The sequence below is a fragment of the Homo sapiens genome, chromosome 3, assembly GCF_000001405.40.
Source record: "Homo sapiens chromosome 3, GRCh38.p14 Primary Assembly".
NCBI classification, from domain to species: Eukaryota; Metazoa; Chordata; class Mammalia; order Primates; family Hominidae; genus Homo; species Homo sapiens.
Genome location: NC_000003.12, coordinates 62,012,868 through 62,033,811, shown reverse-complemented (window position 1 = coordinate 62,033,811; position 20,944 = coordinate 62,012,868). Strand labels below are relative to the sequence as shown.

The 20,944-nt window shown below is 38.5% G+C and overlaps 1 protein-coding gene across 7 annotated transcripts in view; it reads right to left on the bottom strand.

Moving 5' to 3' along the window:
* The window catches only part of PTPRG (protein tyrosine phosphatase receptor type G), a 736,039-nt gene that overhangs the window by 263,798 nt on the left and 451,297 nt on the right, over positions 1-20,944 (bottom strand). For 3 of the 7 annotated variants that reach the window (XM_017006961.2, XM_017006963.2, XM_017006962.1), the window contains exon 5: positions 17,880-17,999. The exons of the other annotated variants lie outside the window; for them this stretch is intronic. In XM_017006961.2, the coding sequence (XP_016862450.1) occupies positions 17,880-17,999 (120 nt within the window). The remainder of the gene's footprint in view (positions 1-17,879; positions 18,000-20,944) is intronic. 7 annotated transcript variants of the gene reach the window in all.

The window sequence follows — 20,944 nt, the reverse complement described above, 5'->3', positions numbered from 1 at the left end:
CGGAGGACAGAGTGAGACTCCGTCTCAAAAAAGAAGAATCATCAGTCAACAATGAGGGTTGCTGGAAACCTCAAAAGAGTAGTCATGGTAGTTGTTACTAAACTCTCTCCCTCTGTAATTTGCATCCACTCCAAAAAAGTACAGGGAAGCCAGGCGTGGTGGCTCATGCCTGTCATCACAACATTTTGGGAGGCCAAGGCAGGAGGATTGCTTGAGCCTAGGAATTCAAGACCAGCGTGGAACACAGGGAGGCCCTATCTCTGGTGGGGGGTGGGGGGGGGAAGATAGGCATGGTATGTGTGCACCTGTGGTCCTAGCTACTTGCGAGGCTTAGGTGGGAGAATCACTTGGGCCCGGGAGGTTGAGGTTGCAGTGAGCCATGATGGCACTACTGCACTCTAGCCTGGGCAACAGAGTGAGACCCTGTCTCAAAAAAAAAAAAAAAAAAAATGTATAGGGAGCAGTTGAGAGTAGATACCAGGGATACCAAATCTCAGCAAGGAAGAGAGAGAAGCCTTCCTCTGAAAGTGACATTTGAACTGAAGCTTTAATAAGAAGAGTCTGGAAAGACTCTTCTCAGAAGTAGGACAAAGCAGGAAAGTAGGTTCATAGGTCCTGAGGTGGGAAGAGGCAAGGCCTTTTAAAGAAGGTCATTAAAGCTGGAGCAGAGAGAAAAGGGGAAAGAGTATTTCCAGATGTAACTGGGCTGGGAGGCAGGAGCCGGGTCACACACATATAATACTTTTATAGGGCATCTATACCAGCATGTCACAGGCAAATTGAACATCCAATGTGAGATTAAAACAAGATGAACTCATCATGTCACTATCTTAGAACTAGGTCGGTCATTCAACCATTTCAATGTTATCTTGCAGGTGCGCATTTATAGATAAGCCTGTGCAAATTCTGCCATCTGATTCCCCTTAGCATTAATAGTTCTGCCTGACAAAACCATCTGCACCGGCCTAACACTCCACTCTTTAAGTCTCTTACACATGAAGAGGCGTCATGATTTTTCACTGATCTGAAATTAAAATTTCCAGCCATAAAAAATATATTTAGATCCAAAGCTACATGTCACTCCTGAAATCCTGTCATTTAAATCACGTTAGGCGTTGAATGAGATATAGGTGAAATTTAACTTTCACTGCATTTTAGTCTCGATCATGGCAAATTTATAACTCAGGAGTAAATCCTGCTGTCAAGGAAAACGTCTTCACTAAATCAGATTTGTTGCTTCCCTCTCTCCTTCAATACTTTTCTAAAAAAAAAAATGGGAATGCTCTTCAACAAAATCCAGTTGTTTTGTCTCTTCCTAGCCACAAAGGCTCTACTGAGTTGCCAGTTTAGCCACTGGAAACTCCAGAATTTCCTACAATAGTATATTCGGTATTCAATTTGCTCAGCAAATGGTGTGTTGGATATTTTTACTCAAATCCATATTGACTAAATCTAAAGCAATTGCTTGGGGAAAGGTCACTAAAGAGCTTTCTTGTAGCTGAATTCCATTTCAGTCCCTGTCCCCACATGACTTTCAGGGAATAGGTGGCACTTTTGACTAATCCTATATTTCTCAAAGCAAATGTGCCCACTGGCTCCTGTGAACATGGGTTTTCCTTGTACTTCTCTGGCTAGTCCAACTCTGTGTTCTCTGCAGGCCCATCTACCTTCCCCAAGATGTCTATTGAAGGCTGGTATAACTCACAGCTCAGGGGAACCAGTACACACTCAATCCATCTGTCCCAGGAATTCTCATTAGCCCTAAGGCATTAATTTCCATGTGCATATTAATGCCTCTCAAATCTTTATTTCCAGTTCTGACTTGTGTCCTGAGTGGCAGACCCATCTAACCAACTGGTTTCTTAGACATTTCCAACTGGATATATCTACATTTATCTAAAACAGAATTCATCCTCTTCCTCCTACACCCGCCACTTCCACAGAGCTCACTGTCTCAATGGAGCACTGCCTTTGGACCTAGTTGCACAAACCAAAACCCCTGAAATAATGTCTCTATCTTCTCTCCATAACTAACACCAAGAATTGTCAACCTCATTTGCCAAACATCCCTTAAATCAGTCCACTTCTTAACCCAGCCCCTGCCTCCAATCAGATCTAGATTAGTAACCACCATCACTTAGCTGTATTACTTTAAGAGCCTCCCAAGGTAATTTTACACTGCAGGTCATTCCATCCCACCATCCATTCCCCATTCCCGGTCATCTACCAGGATCAGGTAGCTCACTGCGCTACTTCCTTCTTCAGAACGCTTCGAAGGATTCTCATCTCCCTTAAAATAAAATCCAAACTCATTACTGTCATATCCCCTGTCTACCTCTCCATATCATGGTAATCTTATTTTCATTCTGTCCATAGCCATCCGAGACTTCTGCAAATGTGCCACTCTCTTCCTAAACACTGGGGCTTGCTGCAGTTTTCCCTGGACACACATTTCCCCCACGTTCTCCTATCCAACTCCTCTATATTCTTTCCGTTTCAGAGAATATACCACTCTTCTTTGGAAGTAAACCCATTGCTTCTAGGCTAGGTAAGCCACTCATCTTATTTTCTTCCTATGTAGCCTTCAGGTCACCTGTTGTATTACAATTGTAATTAGAATATGAGTTCTATCTTATTCACCTGACACATAAGCTGGTATACAGTTACTCCTAAACACCTATTTGTTGATTACGTATTTGTTCATCCTTCCTTCAATACTTTTGTTAAAAAACTGAAATCATTTCAATAAAATCCAGTTGTTTCACCTTTTCCCAGCCATAAAGGTTCTATTAGAGTTGCCCGTTTAGCCAGTGGAAATTTCAGAATTTCTTACAATAGTGCAATTGGTTTACACCAACAAATTGTGTCTTGGATATTTTTATTCAAATCCATATTGACTAAATCTAAAGCATCTGCTTTAGATTTACCCAGGCAGTGGGGGGTCAGTCTAAGTTCCTGCCCCATTCCAGAGGCAAATCAGCCTTCATCCCAAATGAATTCAATGACAATTCCTTGTTTTGTTCAGTTTTTTGAACAATTAATTCCATTATAGAGACTCACATATCCTCAGACTTGTCTGCAATTCAGCATTTCTCATTTCATACTGTTTGCTGTTCATTAACTGTCCATGAGTGCATCTCACCTCCCAAACTGGGTTTTGTGATTGATGACTCTCCCACCACCCCAAGATTCATGCCTCCTCCAGTGCTCACTTGCTGGTCAACTGATTGATCAATGATGACATCTCCAGTAAAAGTGTAATTCCCTTTACCAATAATCATGAAACATGCCCAAGCTGACTAATGCCGATTTAACCACAACTCTACAATAAGTCCATAGAATGAAACTTTCAATTTATGCAAATGTAGCATTCATTAAAAAATACTAATTAGTCTTATGTACATATTTTTCTTCCTCCCTACCTCTAAAAGTTCCTTAAAGCAATATTTCAATTAGACTGTTTTCATGAGGAATCTGGCAGGTGGATTTTAGGAAGCTCGATAAATATCAGTTTGAAAAACTAATTAAGCTTTGGGTGAGAGGGGGAGTAATGTGTCAACATTGCCTTAGTTCAAAAAACGCAGGAACTGACTTAAGTTAAAAAAAAAAAAAAACACAGGGAAAATTTTCCCATCATTTTAGAACTGTGTGTATATGTAAAACACCTATCTGCATAAAGTTAAACCTGTGTTTGGATATACATGATTTCACTAAAAGCCTCATGCAATTTAAAACTTGAGTAATTCAGGATACACAAATGATAGAGGCAAATTGCAAACAATATATTTATTCATCAAACCCCTGTCCTTTAACAGAATGTAAAGATAATCATGAAAGCAATGTATAAAGTCATTCAACCAGAGTCAGAAAATGCGAGTTAGAAAATCAGATTGGACAATGTCTTGTGACAGGTGGAAGGTGGCCGGCAATATGAAATGCACTGTGTTATTTTAGGAATATTACTCTTGCATATTATTCATAATTCACATTTTATCATTACTTATAATATAAAGTTTAAAATAAATGCAAGGTCTTATGGAGGAAGACCTGATTTTACTGAAGAAAAGATGCAGTTCTGTTAATGTGTGTGAATGTTTTCCCTTCATCCTGCCTCCTTTTGGCACAATCAGAATGGGAAATGACTGGCTGGAATAAAAGAGGTTTGAAGGTCACCCATGTTGTAGTCAATTTGCCTTGGGTTTTAATTTATGTGTTTTTAAAATGTGGACAGCATCCAGATGGTAAGTTTTCCAATGAAGATGGATAAATTAATAAATAAATAACCCAAGCATCCTTTCAGAGGACATGCTGATATTTTGACTTCTTCATAAATAATATCTAGTGTTTTAGCGTTTTTAAGGGTGCGCTAGGAATGTGAATTGTAAGCAGATACCTCTGGTCACCTTTTGATAATGAGCCCATCTTTAAATAATAGACAGCTTTCTCTTCCTTTCTGGGACGCACATTTGAAGCTTGTGACAGTGAGAAATGTACTTGTGAGAATGAAGTAAGCAGTGTCTCCAAATGGACTCTAACTCGGACCTGTGTTAGTCCTCCTTGATTCAGATACTGAACTGTGTCCAGAAGATACACATAGAATTCTTGCAAGACCTTGAGATTTGAGGCTATCCTAGATGCATCTGGCCCTTCACAAGTCAGAATACACACATTCTTAGTGTGTGTGAGAGAAGACACTCACACACGCTAGGGAGTCTGCTAAGTGCCCCATTTTCCGGAAACAGGATCACAGGTATAGGCCCATGTCTGCCATGTATGTTGTGCATTCCATGGCCATAGCCAATTGGACTGGACCAAGTAATGACCACCTGACCCAAGATGGACCAATGAGGTTGTCGTTCCTGGGTCTTTGGCATTAGGCCAAAGGACTCTCAGTGAGTATCAACTCATAATCTACAAACTCAAAAAAGCATTAGGAACCAGACTATATGACACCAACTAAGAGAAGCTGTCTACAGCAGAAGGAGGAAATGTCCAAGACACAAACAAAAGCTAAAGATACAATAAAAGACTTCTGTCTCCTTTCTAGCCCCGTCTAGCCACATTTGTACCACTGAGTTTCATTAGACACTCCTATATTTTAAAAATAAACAATCTTTTTATGTTTAGGCTGACTTGAGTGTGTTTCTGTTATGTGCAACCCAGGAATGCTAACAAAGCCTTGGTATAAAACAATGTTCTTCCAAATTGTGACCCGACCTCCTTGATGGCCAACATGCAACATAACATAATACGGTGGCAAGGCTTAAATATGAATGGAAAGGTTTGTGGATATACGGAAATGAAATCGTAATACCTCAGCATTCTTATTCCTCTTATGAACTAAACAATTTTCTTCTGACTGAATGAACAACAGGATTTAATGAAACCACACATTTCATAATGTGTTTGGTCATGCATTTCAGTTTTGTTTGGAATCAGAATCACTCCTCTCCTAGAATATGACAGATTCAACTCTTAAAAATGTATAGGCTGTAATTAGCGTATCATTGCCAGAAACATAAGAATATTTTCCAGAGTAATGTAGATGTCACCACAAAAAGATCATTTTGAAGAGCTCTTTATGACAAAAAAATGCATACCTTTCAAAAATATATTAAAAGGGCATCTTTAAAAGTGGCTCTCCTTTCTACCGAAAACTTCTTTTCTCCTCTTTAGAACAAAGAACATGCAGATTCTGACTTCCAGTAAACCACTGTCTTATCCTTTCAGTAATTAATGGATGCTTTGATACCAAGGAATCCTAAAGAACATTTTTCAAGCCTTAAATGCAGGCTGGGCTGATTCACACATAACACATCTAAAAAGATCTGAGGAATAAATAATCACGAGTTGCAAACACTTGCCCGGAGCAGTTGGGCACCAACCAGATTTCCAACAAGTGATGTGATTTTTTATTATAACAAGGAAAATTACTTACTGAAACACAAAAAAAGTGCCTCTCTTCCTAATCCCCGGCCTTGTCCTATAGACGAACACACACATTTCCTGGGTGATCATTTAGCAAATCCTTTTTTTAAAAAAATCACACTGGCTCTGGGGCACGTTTTTTGATGGATTTAAAAAATCTGTGCCCACAAAGGAAGTTTATTTCATTGGCTAGGCTTCTGACTAGGTTAAAATCTGATTAAGCTAGCCTACAGGTAAATGTCTGTCAGCTGCTTGGCTTAAAATATGAGTTGGCACTCGAAAATATTTGGAAAAATTAGATTTTGCAGGGTGTAGAGGCTTTTTCAGGTAAGCGACAAATTATTTTTAAGCAGACACTTGCTTTCAGCCAGGATCTCAAACACTGAAGACACTGGCTGCTGAATGGGGTATGTGAGGAGCTGATTTATGCTGACACAGCCCACTGCATTTTTCAGGGGATGGTGGGGTGGCAGGAGGAATGCAATAGAAATGAGGCCGCCAGTCACCTTCTATGACCAGGATCAGAATAAAGTATAGGGACTGGAGGTCAGTTTAAGGGACACCACTCTGGAGACACGGCATTGGGTGGGACAAAGACTTTCTTGCCCTCATAATGTTCCTCAGAGCTAGATCAGCCTGGAAGTTAGGTCTTCTCCACACTATCAGTTAGTGATTTTTAAATCATTTGCAGAAAAACCATTTTAGATTAATGTAACAAGCGTCATCCCCAGTTTGTTCTACTAACTAGCCATGGAGAAGGGGGATCTATGCTTAAAAAAAAGAAAACAGGGCACGGGGAGAGAATTTAAACAGAGAATATCTATACTGACTCTAAATGATTTGACTCAGTAGTAGTAACAACAATAGGAAGAGCAGACAATAATAATTGCTCCTATTCATTTGCCCATATGTCTGGCATCTTGCCAGGTACAATCAATACACAATTTGTTTTGTTTTACACAACAATCTAAGCAGAATTTTCTTATATCTTTTTTTTTTTTTTTAATTCTCACTCGGTTTCCCAGGCTGGAGTGCAGCAGTGCAATCTCGGCTTACTGCAACCTCCACCTCCCGGGTTCAAGCGATTCTCCTGCCTCAGACTCCTGAGTAGCTGGGACTACAGGCACGTGCCACCACGCCTGGCTAATTTTCTGTATTTTTAGTAGGGACGGGGTTTCACCGTGTTAGCCAGGATGGTCTTGATCTCCTGATCTTATGATCCACCGACCTTGGCCTCCCAAAGTCCTGGAATTACAGGCGTGAGCCACCGTGCCTGGCCTCTAATACATGCTTTTAAGGTGAGAAAACTGAGGCTTGCATAAGTAAAGTTACATGTCTAGGTCATGCAGGCAGCAGTACAGGGCCCAGCATTCAAACCTGGGCACACGTGTCTGGGTTCAAATCTCATGCTCTAACTCACTGTGTTATTCTTTGTGCCTCTTGGGTGATCAGAAGGGAGGTGCCCATGGTAGCCATAAAACTTTACTGAGATACAGAACAATCAAGACACATGGAACATAAGAGCTTGTCTAGGAAGTAAAAAATAAGAACAAGTAGTTAATATAAAAAACACTTGAATGTCAAGAACATTGCATTTTCAATCTTTCAGCATGAAGTTTCTAAGACCTCTGTAACCAAGAAAGACTAAGGCTAATCAAAGGTCAACATTTAATACAGTCATCATCAAACCCTTGTATGTGATAAAAGCTGCTTCAGCCTAAGAAATCAATTCCATTATGGCTATTTATGCAGTGATGCTAGTAAATCTATGAGAAATAAACTGGCCTCACTTACACCATTGATTACCCAGGCTTAAGACAGATGGCACTGCATACTTTAATGCCTAGGTCGCAAAATCATTTTTCTCTTTAATAACATACCCTTTATTGAAAAAGAAATCACTTAAGCATCATGACAATAAAGCATTGCAATTTCCATTAACCTTTTCAAAAACTTGTGATTAGAAATGTATCAGTAAAATATGGGAAAGAATATAAAAATGGTTTTGCCTTCTAAAAGCCAATTCGTAAGGAAGCCACTGCTAGAGATTTTCTCTTCTAACTCTAGTAAAAATTAGTTAGGTCATCACTGAAGACTATACAGAGCCTACTTAAACAATTTTTTCAAACTAGATAATTTTTTATTGTGCCTTTATGTGAAAACATTTACAATTTTTACATTAGTTCATAAAAGAATTGTTCTGAAGCTTGGCAATTTTTAAGGACAGGTAGATACCTGAGGGAAAAAACATTTGAAAAATTGAGGTCACATGAAAAGACTTAAAAGGGAAAAAAATTACTCCATAATGGTTACATTTTACGGCTGTCAACAAAACAAAACCTTAGAACCCTTTGAGATCCTAATCAAGCAATTTAAAAAAATAGATGAAAATTTGGTTACTGTAAAATAAGAAAAGTAGTCATCAAAAAAACTGAAGAAAAAAATGGTTTTCCCATTATATTTAATTGAAAATTCCAAACAAATAATTGGAGATAAAGGAACACAAACACTAAGCTCTCTCAGAGTCCTTCCCAGTCCTTTTGCCAAGGTTTCTCGAACACCAAAGCAAAATGTAAAGCAAAATTCCCCATAGTAACATTAACACATCTGCATCAAAAATATGTGTTGCTATATATATACATGCATTCAGACCTATAATTTTAACAATTAGTTCATTTCTTAAGCACTGAGGTGGGTAGTGACAGCTAAGACACCACATATTAAAAATTTTTAGTGTTTCATCCCACTCCCTGTTGCAGTGTCTAACTCTGACTTCACTGCCCACATACGAAAACTGGACCAGCTCCCAGCCTATTATATAAAGCTCTCCCTTCTAACTGGGGTCACAAGCATGACTTTCATACTCCTGGAAAATAACTTTTATGCCAACAAACAAGAAATTGCTAGGGTTAGGTCGACACAACAGAGGCAGCAACCTGCTTCGAAAGACAGATTATTACTGAAAATGTGGTAAATAATTTCCCATTATCTGATACTGATGAATTGGAAAATCGCATGTCGAAATTCACAAAACACAGCCCTATTTATGTCCCTAAACCCAAGCACTATGAAGTCAAGTCTAAAGCATTTATCAGATCTACTGATTTAAGTAAATTCATTAGTTAAACCATCCTTATCTATCAGATAACACATTAGGGGTTGCAGAAGGAAAACCTGCATCCAATAATGTTTACTTTCTTTAAAAACCCACTTGGTAAGAAAGGGTGACATATGAAGAAATGGCCAAAAATATTCTACAGAGAAGGGAATAAACTGGAAACTTTACCCATAGCTAGTGAAACTCGTATCAACTCTGACTTGACTTACTTCCATTCCATTTCTGCTTAAATACAGGAAGTGCAGGCTACCTAAGCGTGATGGAGTAGAAAATTAAAATCACTTAATCACAGTAGCAGTGTCAAATATTCTTTTGAAGTTACCTGGCATTAAAAAGTGTATGCTCTATTCCTTTTTCTTTAACAAAAATCTCACAAAATAGTGACCTTTCATTATCACTATTGCCAAAATAATTATATCATGGACAAGTGGGGAGATGGGAGTTCTGTAAAAGTATCTTGATAAATGGAGAAATTTATTCCTTTCTATTACCAGGTTGGGTTAAACCAAAGCACTGAATTAACACAAAAAGGACTTGGAAGTGAACATCTAGAAAATAGTTGGCAATGTATGTTAATTACCTTGATTTAGACATTCCATAATGTACACATATATCAAAACATCATGTAGTGTACCATAAACATAGTTGTCAGTCAAAAAAATATTTAAAATTTAAAAAAGAAAACTACACTAAACAGACACTCTTACAACAGCCTTGTTTCACTTGTCTTTCCAATAATGACAGAAAGCTAGACCCCCTTTCTTGTTTTTGAACCTCTTCTTGTCTAAGAAAACAATTAGGATACATCCTAAGATAAGCTTTTCATTGAGGATTCAAGTATTCCCCAGCAATAATGTGGACAATAACACCATTATTGAAGGATTACTGCACAACATCTCATGTTCTCATGAGCATTTCTGAAAAACTTCATATTTACTGAGGGTTTACTATGTTCCAAAACACTGCCACAACTAGTACCTTCTTTAATGCTCACCTCAAAACAGTAGGTAGGTTTTAATCTCTTCGCATTTAAGACTTGGTTTTGCCAGGTAGCCTTGGAATCTCAACAGTCTCCCTAGGTTTCCATATCCGTAATAAAGGCAGATGTTGGATGAATCTAAATTTAGCCATTTTTGGTAACTGTGCACGAAAAAGATTTTTGTTTGTTTGTCTAGGAGTAAACAAGGATGATGGCTAGAGAGGAAAGTAATGCATACTCAAAAATATACTTGGAGGAGTGCATAGGAATAAGAAAGGCTCCAAACCAGATGGAGCACTTACAACTTTAGAAGAAAAATGACTGGAGAAATCCCAGCAAGAAGGTAAAAAGAGGAGTGAAAAAAACAGGGTCTTTGGCTGAAATTTGCAAATATACACAGAGAGATATACACTCATAGTAACACTGCTAATGAAGAGTTGAGGTAAATTTCATCATAAGTCTGTTTTTGATTAATTCTATCTTTGGCTAAGGAAAAGTTCTAGTTTCCTGATGTTTTCATTAGTATTATGTGGGAGACAACCACAATATCTGTTCATTAATATATTTATATCTGAGGTTAATTCAAGGTTGTGTTTAAATATAACACAGAAATATAATTAACTCATAAGATAATATGCATTGTTAGCATTATTGTTTTTTTCTGTTTCATTACATTATTTAGAACAAGTAATTTAGTCATAATATATATAGCTGTAAAGGTAAGCTGCAGCCTTTTGAGGTCAAATTTAATTAATTGGTGATGTATTTTCTTAATTTTGTTTTGAATGTATTAATTATATTGTTTTAATAAACACGCAATAAGACAATTGAAGAACAAATTTTAAAATAACAGACAAGAAAAATAAAAGGCTTCAGATGAACAATATATCACTAAGAAATCAATTACCAATTTTTATTTAGTAAAATAATAGCTTTTATTTTTGTAGAAATAGTAGTTCTACAGAAAAGCAACTTACAGCTTCTATACAAAATACCTTTGAAATGCAAGGGGCAGTAGGTTTGTTATCTTAAGCTGTTGTGAGGTAAATTTTAGACCCAAAAGGTATATAATTCCAGCTCTTAACAAATCGATTTACTAATCCACCCAAGACGCTATCAATCTGGGAGCCAATCTTTCTACCTATCACCAAAAACCAGGGTTCCATCCCCATTCATAAGAACATTAGATATGTCAAATAAATTGAAGGCCCTATTCAAATCCCAGTTCCCTGCCAGTTCTGATCTCTACCTGCATCGTTCACACCGTAATCTACTTAAATTGAAAAATGCCTGTTGGGTAAAACCTGTTGAACTTTCCACCCTCTCCTGAGCCAAGAGAAGGTGACAAGCATTATGTCTGCCAGTCAGTTATGTCAAAACAAAATGCCCATAGATACTGGTATTGTTCTGCCAAGTCCTAGCACCAAAACTAGATTTAACTAAAAGATCAGACATTTTATGATCTAGTTCTTACAAACGTAAGCTGGAAGACTTCTCACATGTTGAAATTAGTTAAGACAAATAATAGTGGGTTCATTCTTTTATTTCACAAAAAATGTAAATAGGTCACCTATAACATACATAGTACTACACTCAGCACTGAGGTTACAGAAATTAATGAGACAGCAATGGTACCCGCCCATAGGATTCTGGCGGAATAGTCACGTACAGCAGCCTTGGCTGTGAGTTTTCAGACCTCTAGAAATTCATGAGACCAGTAATGAGGTTATGAATAAAATTTAACGTAAATTGTATACATATATATGTATTCTCTACATTGGAAAGTAAAAGACAAATTAGTTCTACAGAAAAAAAGTCTGTTCCTCTCTCTCCAGACACTTTCTTTTTTGAGGGGGAAGGGAAAAAGGAAATCAGAAAACAATAGAAAGTCTAAACAAAACATGGAATGCAAAAAAAAAAAAAAAAAAAGAAAAGGAAAAAGACCTATATGGCCAAAATTTTACATATAATTTCAAGAAATGTATTAGCCCCATATTAGGAACCCATATATTGCATTCTGGTGAGAGAAAGTCACTATTATTATAGACAGTTTCAGAGCTGACATATAAAGCTACATCACATAATATCAAATGAATTAACTTTTAGCATAGCAACCCAAACTTCTCAATTCACGAAGGTAAAGGTAGACAAGCGCACTGTAACACAAAGAACTTCCACTTTGAGATGAAACATTCTGGATTTAAAACCCTGACTGATCACTAATTCTAGCCCATAAGTACATCATGAAGGCCGAGACAATGTATTGTATTTTAACAAAAAGGGTATACTATACACATAAACATATATTTTTGGCTTTTTCAAACAAGTTATTAGCTTCTTTTGAAAATGTCAGATGTTCTGACTAATGTTGGCTTATATTCTCAAATGTCAACCAGTCAAATAGCATGTTAGACATCTCTCCTACCTTTCATCTTCATGTCATATACACCTGGCTCCTATTAAACCTAAGTTTATCCCAGATATATGATCTAAGTAGCTGTGATGTTTATAAGACAGACCAACAGAAAGAGCCGAAAGGTCCAACAATGTATTGCATCCACATCATGGAAAAAAGCAAAAATTTATCAATCACCTACTATGTGACACTAAACTATACGTTTCTAAGTATTACAGTTTAATTCCCACAAAAACTCTTATCACGCAGGTATTCGTATTAAAAGTCATTTTACTGATGAGGGAACAAGTTCAACAGATGACCAGAGTCGTACTCACACAGTGGCAGTAATGAAATATGAACCCCAGGGATCTGGCTCAAGGGCCTCAGCTATGCAGCATTAAAAAACATAGATGAGGCCAGGTGCTGTGGCTCACACATATAATCCCAGCACTTTGGGAGACCAAGGTGGAAGGACTGCTTGAGCCCAGGGGCTGAAGATCAACCTGGGCAATATAGCAAGACCCTGTATCCAAAAAAAAAAAACAAAAAAAACCTGTGCATGGTGACACATTCCTTGAGCCCAGGAGTTCGAGGCTGCAGTGAGCTGTGATGTGCCACTGTATTCCAGCCTGGGAGACAGAGCAAGACCCTGCCTCAAAACACAAACAAACAACAACAACAACAACAAAACCAGAAATAAGCCCCTGCTAAGTACTTGCTGCTGGCCTGGGTGCTGCCCTCTGAGTCACAGACTCAGTAAGTAGCTACTTACTGACAATGAAAAGACTCCCATTATCTATTAAGTGGAAATAAGTTTATGAAGTCATATTGGCATTTCAAAAGAGTGTTACTTGTTTGCAAGAGAAACACACGCTTTCTTTAACTCACATATTGTGTGAATTACTTTGTAATGAACATGTATTACTTTGATAATCAAAAGACCATAAACAATTTGCATTTTGAGAAAAAATTATTTTTATATTCTGCCTCTATACTTGTTCTAGCTTACAAAAATAAGGTCTTAGAAATGACATTAAATGAGACTCATTGTTCTGGTTTTTTTTCTTGAATTTAAAGTAAAGTGTGTTAATTGTGAAAAATCTGTAGAATGCAGCAAGGTACAAGTAGGAAAATTAGATTTCATTTTTGAAGAACTGAGAGATATTAGAAAATACAGAAAATATTCACAATATGCAAAGTGATAAAGCAGACTGTAAACATATTCATTTTGATATTGACTATGTTTTCATCTCCCCCTACCCTCTGCCAAGTACTGGAAGGAAATGAGTCAAAATGACAACAGATCACTCTATGATCAACAGAATCTATGATCAACAGAAAATGGTACCTAAACTCAGACTACTATACTCCTAAAATTATTTCTATCAAGAAGATGTTAGACTCCACCGAGATTTCTATAAGGATGACCTCTCTTCCTTCAGTTTTATCTGAAAAATAGAGATAGAGGTTTTTGTGGAAAAATGTTTTTAATAAGTGATGATTAAATGGCACAATGCATGTTAAGTACTCTAAGTATACACAGGAAGTAGTTTTCAAAAAGTTAACTATCATTATTATTGTAAGAGTTTTTGTTTTTAATTTTTTTAAGTTGGCAAATAAAAATTGTACACATTCATGGCATACAACATTATGTTTCAAAATATATTGTGGAATGACTCAATCAAGCTAATTAACACATCCATCACCTCCCGTACTTACCATTTGTGTGTGTGTGTGGCAGTAATATTTTAAAACCTATTCTCTTAGCAATTTTCAAGTATACATTGTCATTCATTATAATCACCCTGTTATACAACAGATCTCCTGAGCTTATTCTTCCAAGGACTTTTTTTTTTTTTTTTTTTTGAGATGGGGTCTCACTCTGTCACCCAGGCTGGAGTACAGTGGCACAATCTCAGCTCACTGCAACCTCCACCCCCTGAGTTCAAGCAATCCTCCCTTCTCAGCCTCCCAAGTAGCTGGGACCACAGATGCGTGCCACCACGCCCAACTAAGTTTTTGTATTTTTGGTAGAGATGGGGTTTCCCCATGTAGCCCAGGGTGGTCTCAAACTCCTGAGCTCAAGCAATCCACCCACCTTGGCCTCTCAAAGTGCTGGATTACAAGTGTGAGCTACTACATCCGGCCTGAGGAATTGTTTTTGATAGAAGTATGGGGAATATCTCTTACTGTTCAACATCTGATTCAGGAGGTCGCAGAGGGACCTCAGGAATTTGATTTTAGAAAATCTACCCTGAATTATGTGAAACAGATGAGCACCTGGTTAGCTCCTGCTGTTAGCCTGGGTGCTGAGGCCCCAGCTGTAACCAGTTTCTTCAGTAAGGTCAGCTTCTGCAGGTCCTGGTTTCATTCTGGGACCCCAAAGACCAAGTTGATTCCTTCTTCTAAGAGGATCCCTTCAAAAACATCAAGACCCACTCTTGCACTCTATTTGCACACCACTGTCCATTCCAATCATTTCCTCTAGCACTGGGGCAGGCTCACTTACTGTCTGTCATAAATCCAGCGTGCCTTCTATACCTAATGCTTCCTCTCCCAACCCATACACTGATCCATACCATAACTGTGGGTGGGTCCTCCTGCTTCCCCGGGATGTGGCTCATGTAGACCTGCCCACATTTTGTCCTATCAGAGTTGACCTCCTATGCATCCTATTCCAAGGGATGCCTTGAGCTTTGTAATGCTACTGCTGGGGCATTACCTGATGAGTTTTATTAATGTATTCAATGTAGTTCAAGTGCTTACATTTTGCTCTTTCCTTAGACTACCATTTGAAGAGGCAGTAATACCTTAACTCAAATAATGGAATTTCAGGCATTTTTGAGACTAACTTGGAGACTTCGAATCATTTAGAGGATTGGCCAACTGGAAAGAGAGTGGTGACACCCCTGAAGCCTACAAATCATCTATTATTTGACTCCAGTTCCTGCTGACATTGTGGGATTCTAGTAAACTTTAGAAGGGAAACGGTGAGATTGAGCACAATGGAGAGGCATCATATCCACATTAAAGATGCACGGCTTTTTATCTGAACGTGGAAAAGCAGACTGTCAGCTGAAGGTTTTTATTTTTCTTTTCATTTACCAGTAATAAGGAATGAACGAAAATTACTCAAATTTGGCTTTGGAACATGTAAAAGTACCCACTTAATTCTGATGTACATTTGGGTTAAGATTCACTCTGTTGGTCTCTCAGGTTCTATGAGGTCAAGGAGCTTGCTTGTCTTGTTCACTATGAAACTCCCAAATGTTCAGCATATTGCCTGGTTCTCAATGAATACAAAGGAAGGCACTGTTCTGAGATGGTATGAGGACTGGACCAAGGAAAGGAATCTGGCAACTTCATAACCTTTGGAGTGTGGGCACTGGAGAGGCTTCTAGCGAACAAACCTGCAGAGAAATGCAGCATACAATTCTCATGGCTTCTGTCTTGGCTCATGAATGAAACTGATAATCTCAATCTAAAATTCCCAAAGGCACACCTTTTAACTCTGCTACAGTAATTGCTCATGTACATATTAACAGCTCTCAAAAACGTGGGCCTCATTGACTAATTGAAACAATCTGTCTTGATATGTGGATGTAATGGTTGTTAATATAAGAGCTACACTCTGGAAGAACAGACCTTAAAAAGATCATTTTCTGAGCCGGGCGCGGTGGCTCACGCCTGTAATCCCAGCACTTTGGGAGGCCGAGGCGGGCGGATCACGAGGTCAGGAGATCGAGACCATCCTGGCTAACACGGTGAAACCCCGTCTCTACTAAAAAAAAAAAAAATACAAAAAATTAGCCGGGCGCGGTGGTGGGCGCCTGTAGTCCCAGCTACTCGGGAGGCTGAGGCAGGAGAATGGCGTGAACCCGGGAGGCGGAGCTCGCAGTGAGCCAAGACAGCGCCACTGCACTCCAGCCTGGGCGAAAGAGCGAGACTCCGCCTCAAAAAAAAAAAAAAATCATTTTCTGAGCTAAACGATTAACGCTTAGCCTCACAGCATGAGGCAAGAGGATGAATGTGTTTATTTGGGAGTAACTAATTTACTGGGCTCTTTCACATTCTTAATACAAGACATACTTTTGGGGTAGGATTTGCTTTCTTAAACGTTCTTTTTATGAAGAATTAAAAGTTTTCATTCTCAGGAATTAGAGTTTCTTACCCTTTAAACCAGCAGGCCCACAAGATAAGAATACAATACAAGAATGCTGGTTTCCTAATGGGTAACACTGCTTACGCTGTTATGGGACTATGTTCATTAGCAGCCAAGATTCAACAGTAGACAGACAGACCGATCCCCTCCTCTGATCCCCTCCTCTAAAAGCTCACATGCAGTATACGGGGGTGAGGGAGGGGGAGGGAGTTAATAAATAAGTAAAGAAATCAATAAGTAAATAACTTCAAAAAAGTGATGAATGCTATGAAGAAAATAAAACTGGGTAATAGAAAAGAAAGTGACTTACTTTGGAAGAGGAGAGAGCATGAAATGATAAGACGGCTTAGGAAAGGAGTGAGGGATAATCAGGGAGAAGAACAAAGCCAGTGAAAAGAGGGTGGAGAGAAGTGTGGGGGTGAATGAGGGAGAGTAGAAGCCAGGTCAACTAGGGCCTTGTAGGCCAAGGTAAGATCTTTGGACCTACTCAACATGTGATTGGAAACCACTGGAAAATATTAAGTGAGGGAAAAATGTAATGCAATCCAAGTGTTTAAAAGAAAGCTTTGGTTACTGGATAAAGAGTGGATTGTGAAGGGCAAGAGAGACCTTTTTTAGAATCTATAGCAATGACTGAAGTCAGAAATGGTGTTGGCTTGAATCAGGGTAGAAATAGTGGAAAAGAAACAAAATAGATGGATTGGGGATCTGTTGCTTCATGTGACAAGAAGACTACTGAGTTCATATTAATAGTTAATACAGGCCGGGCGCGGTGGCTCACACCTGTAATCCCGGCACTTTGGGAGGCTGAGGCAGGCGAATCACGAGGTCAGGAGTTCGAGACCAGCCTGGCCAACATAGTGAAACTCCGTCTCTACTAAAAATACAAAAAATTCGCTGGGCATAGTAGAAGCACCTGTAATCCCAGCTACTCAGGAGGCAGAAGCAGGAGAATTGCTTGAACCTGGGAGGCGGAGGTTGCAGTGAGCCAAGATCATGCCACTGCACTCCAACCTGGGTAACAGAGTGAGACTAGGTCTTAAAAATATATATAGTTAATATAAATAAACTGTAAGAATGCCAAATCCTGCTCAAAGTACTCTATGTCTATTAACTCAAATTTACTCTATGAGGAGGGGGTTTATACTATTAATAATGTGCTTAATGATCACTTCTCTATGTTACATTCTTTAGTATATAACATATTATGCAGTGAAAACTGATCTGTAATAGGTATTACACAAGATTTGAATACTGGATAGTCAAAGCTTTAAAAGACTTTTAAAAAACTTACTGACTGGTAAGTTGTCCATGATTTTCTCTCCTCAAATTGTTCTTTTTTTAAACCAAGAAGTATAAACCGCATGCCCTGAGATAACATCAACATGATATCCCCTCCACGAGCATCTTCTGCCTTCAAAACAATTGGAATCAGATGTTTTTCTCAAAACACTCCTCTGTGGCCCACCCAACCATCCTCTCTCCTGAAATGTTACAATTATCTCCTAGCCTGGCTCTCAGCACCCACAGGTCTTCCCCACTCTCAAGTGCAGCCAGACGGATCCTTCTAAAACATAAACTAGATAGACTGGTGTGATGGTGTGTGCCTGTAGTCCCAGCTGTTCAGGAGGCTGGGGTGGAACGATTGCATTAGCCCAGGAGTTCGAGGCCAGACTGGGCAACACAGCAAGACCTTGGGTTGTAAAAAAAAATTTTTTTTGTTTAAAATAAAATGTTAAAAAATATAAGTTAGGAAACTGAGATGGAGAACATTCTCTGCTGAAAACATTCTAACAATTTCCCATCTTGCCTGCAGTAAAAGCCACAGAGCTTCCCATGGTCTCCAAGACCTCACACCATCACACTGCCTATCTGCTGACCGCACCTCCTATCACTCTGCTCCTTTCTCCTGCTGTTTCAGCAGCCCCGGGTTCCTGCCTCTGCCTCAAACAGGCCAGGCAGGCTCCTGTCTCAGGGCCTCAGTGCCTGCTGAAGAAAAAGCCTCTTGAGGCCAGGACACTCTGCCCTCCACAGAGAAGGCTCTGTTAATGAACCAAATGAATAAACACTGTGCGTCATTTAGAAATGTCTCTAGAGAAGCCAGTAAGGAAATAATTTAAACATTCTACATACTGTATTATCATGGCATCATGGCTGAAAGAAAAGCTCTCCACTGAACTATTTGGGGTTTCCCTACTGGCATATGTCACAGAACTATGTTAGCCCTGGAATATGTCTCAGGACTATGTTAGCCCTAGAATATGTCTCAGGACTGTGATAGCCCATTATCAAGCTCTAAGAGGAAGACATGTCATGCAGCATTTCCTAAGTCAACTTTTAGGCAGATAATTTAGATAGAATAAGATGAATCCAGAAAATATGCTGGGGCCATCTTTTTCGATGGGTGCTGACTATATATGCTTAGGTATTTCAGTACCCACTTATACCCTTCCAATAAATGACACAAAGAATGATGATGAAAGAGATAGAGACAGGCAATCAGAGACAAAGACAAATTCAAAGAAGCAAACACAGAGGCAGGCTAAGAAATAGCAAGGGGAGTGCGTGAGGTTTCTCTCACTCCAAGTCTTCCCTAATCAGGGCATGCTGAACACAGAGGCATGAACTCAGAAAATTCCCTGAAATACTGAATTTTAGAAATGAACAGAGTGAAGGTTTTAATAGGGAGATTCAGGAGTTGAAGCTCTATCTGTGTGGTAATAGCTGGGATTTAGAAGTTATTTTACTATTAACCTAAATATCTTCCACATACTAACCTGAGTTTTAAAGTACCCTGTCTTGCTAAGACATCCTCCAACACTCAAGAGATGAAATTTATATTTTTAAATAAGATAGGGTTTTGGTAAATTTGCCCAGCTGGTCTCCATCCATCACAGTAAACGTATCCAGAGCAGTATCCGTGCTCAATACAGCGCCAGGCCAAACAATCCGGACTGAGAAGCTTTTGAAACTTTCTTCCCATTCCATTAAAGGGGGGGTGCAATGAAATTCTATGCCAGGGATTTAAAGGGAAGAGAGGAAATAGACTTTCTTTCAAACTTGACTCCCTTCTATTCCTTATAAATCTTTCTGACTGTCCCTTCTGAGTGACGGTGGCACTAAAGAACTTGCTAAAGGCTTTAGATTTAAGATGGCTTGAAACCTTCCCGCTCAAATTTTGACAGGACAAGAGAAAAAGGCAGTTGGTGGTGTTGCTGATACACAGGCCCATAAATCCTCTTGACCTGAACTTACAATACATCTGATCTGGCGGCCTGAAGTCTCTACCTTCAGTGCACAAAGGTCTCCCCAGCCAGCTTTATTTGAGTTCCCGAGCTTGGAAGTGGATTCTGAGAAGAATAGTGTTCAAAGCTCCAGGAACAAATGTTGCAAAAAAGAATAAGAGGAAAAAAGTTAAAGCTTATAAAGAAGAAGAAAAAAAAAAACCTGTACAGCATCTAAGTGAAGCCTTTTCAATAAATAAATCAGATTCCAATATAAAACTGAACTACTATATGTGTATTTTTAAAACAAATTTTATTTTAAGGTATACAACATTATGAGGTACATAATCTAGATAGTAAAATGATGATTATAGTGAAACATATTAATATACCCATCATTTCCCATAGCTACCCAAGCCCTGCTGCAAGAGCAGAGATAATCCACACGTTTAGCAAAAATCCTGAATACTGCATACAATACATTTTTATTAACTATAGTCCCTCTGCTGTACATTAGTTCTTCAGATTTGTTCACTGTACATACCTGCTACTTTCTATCCTTTCACCTTTTTTGTTGCCGCCGTTGGAAGAGAAGAAGTCAAAATTACCAAAAATTCAACATAAAAACACCTCCTAAAGAATTTGTTAGTCTCTCATGTAGTTTATTATCAAAATTCCATTATTGTGGTCTGGAATCAAAAAGTTTTGCAAGTTTTAGTATGGTAGTAACTGTAAAATACAAACCAGACTTCAAGGACATAGTATAAAAATAGAATGTACTATGTCTCAGCGATACCTTTTTATATTGATTTTATGTTAAAACAATATTTTGGAATGTATTGGGGAAACAGATTAATTCAACTGAAATTGAATTTCTTTTATAGTAAATATTCTTGTTTAAGTTGTATTATTGTATAATATAAAAATATTTGTTAAAATAAAATAAAATAATATCTTCCTTTTTACCTCTTTTAAGGAGGCTTCTGAAAATTTAAAGTGACAATGTATGGTTCACATTATATTTTTACCAGATAGTATTGCTCTCAGTGATTAAAAATAGACTGAAGCGGTCAATCCAGATAAAAAGTATACCCTTTTGCACAGATAGCTCTAGGCATAAGTGCTGACTAATTTC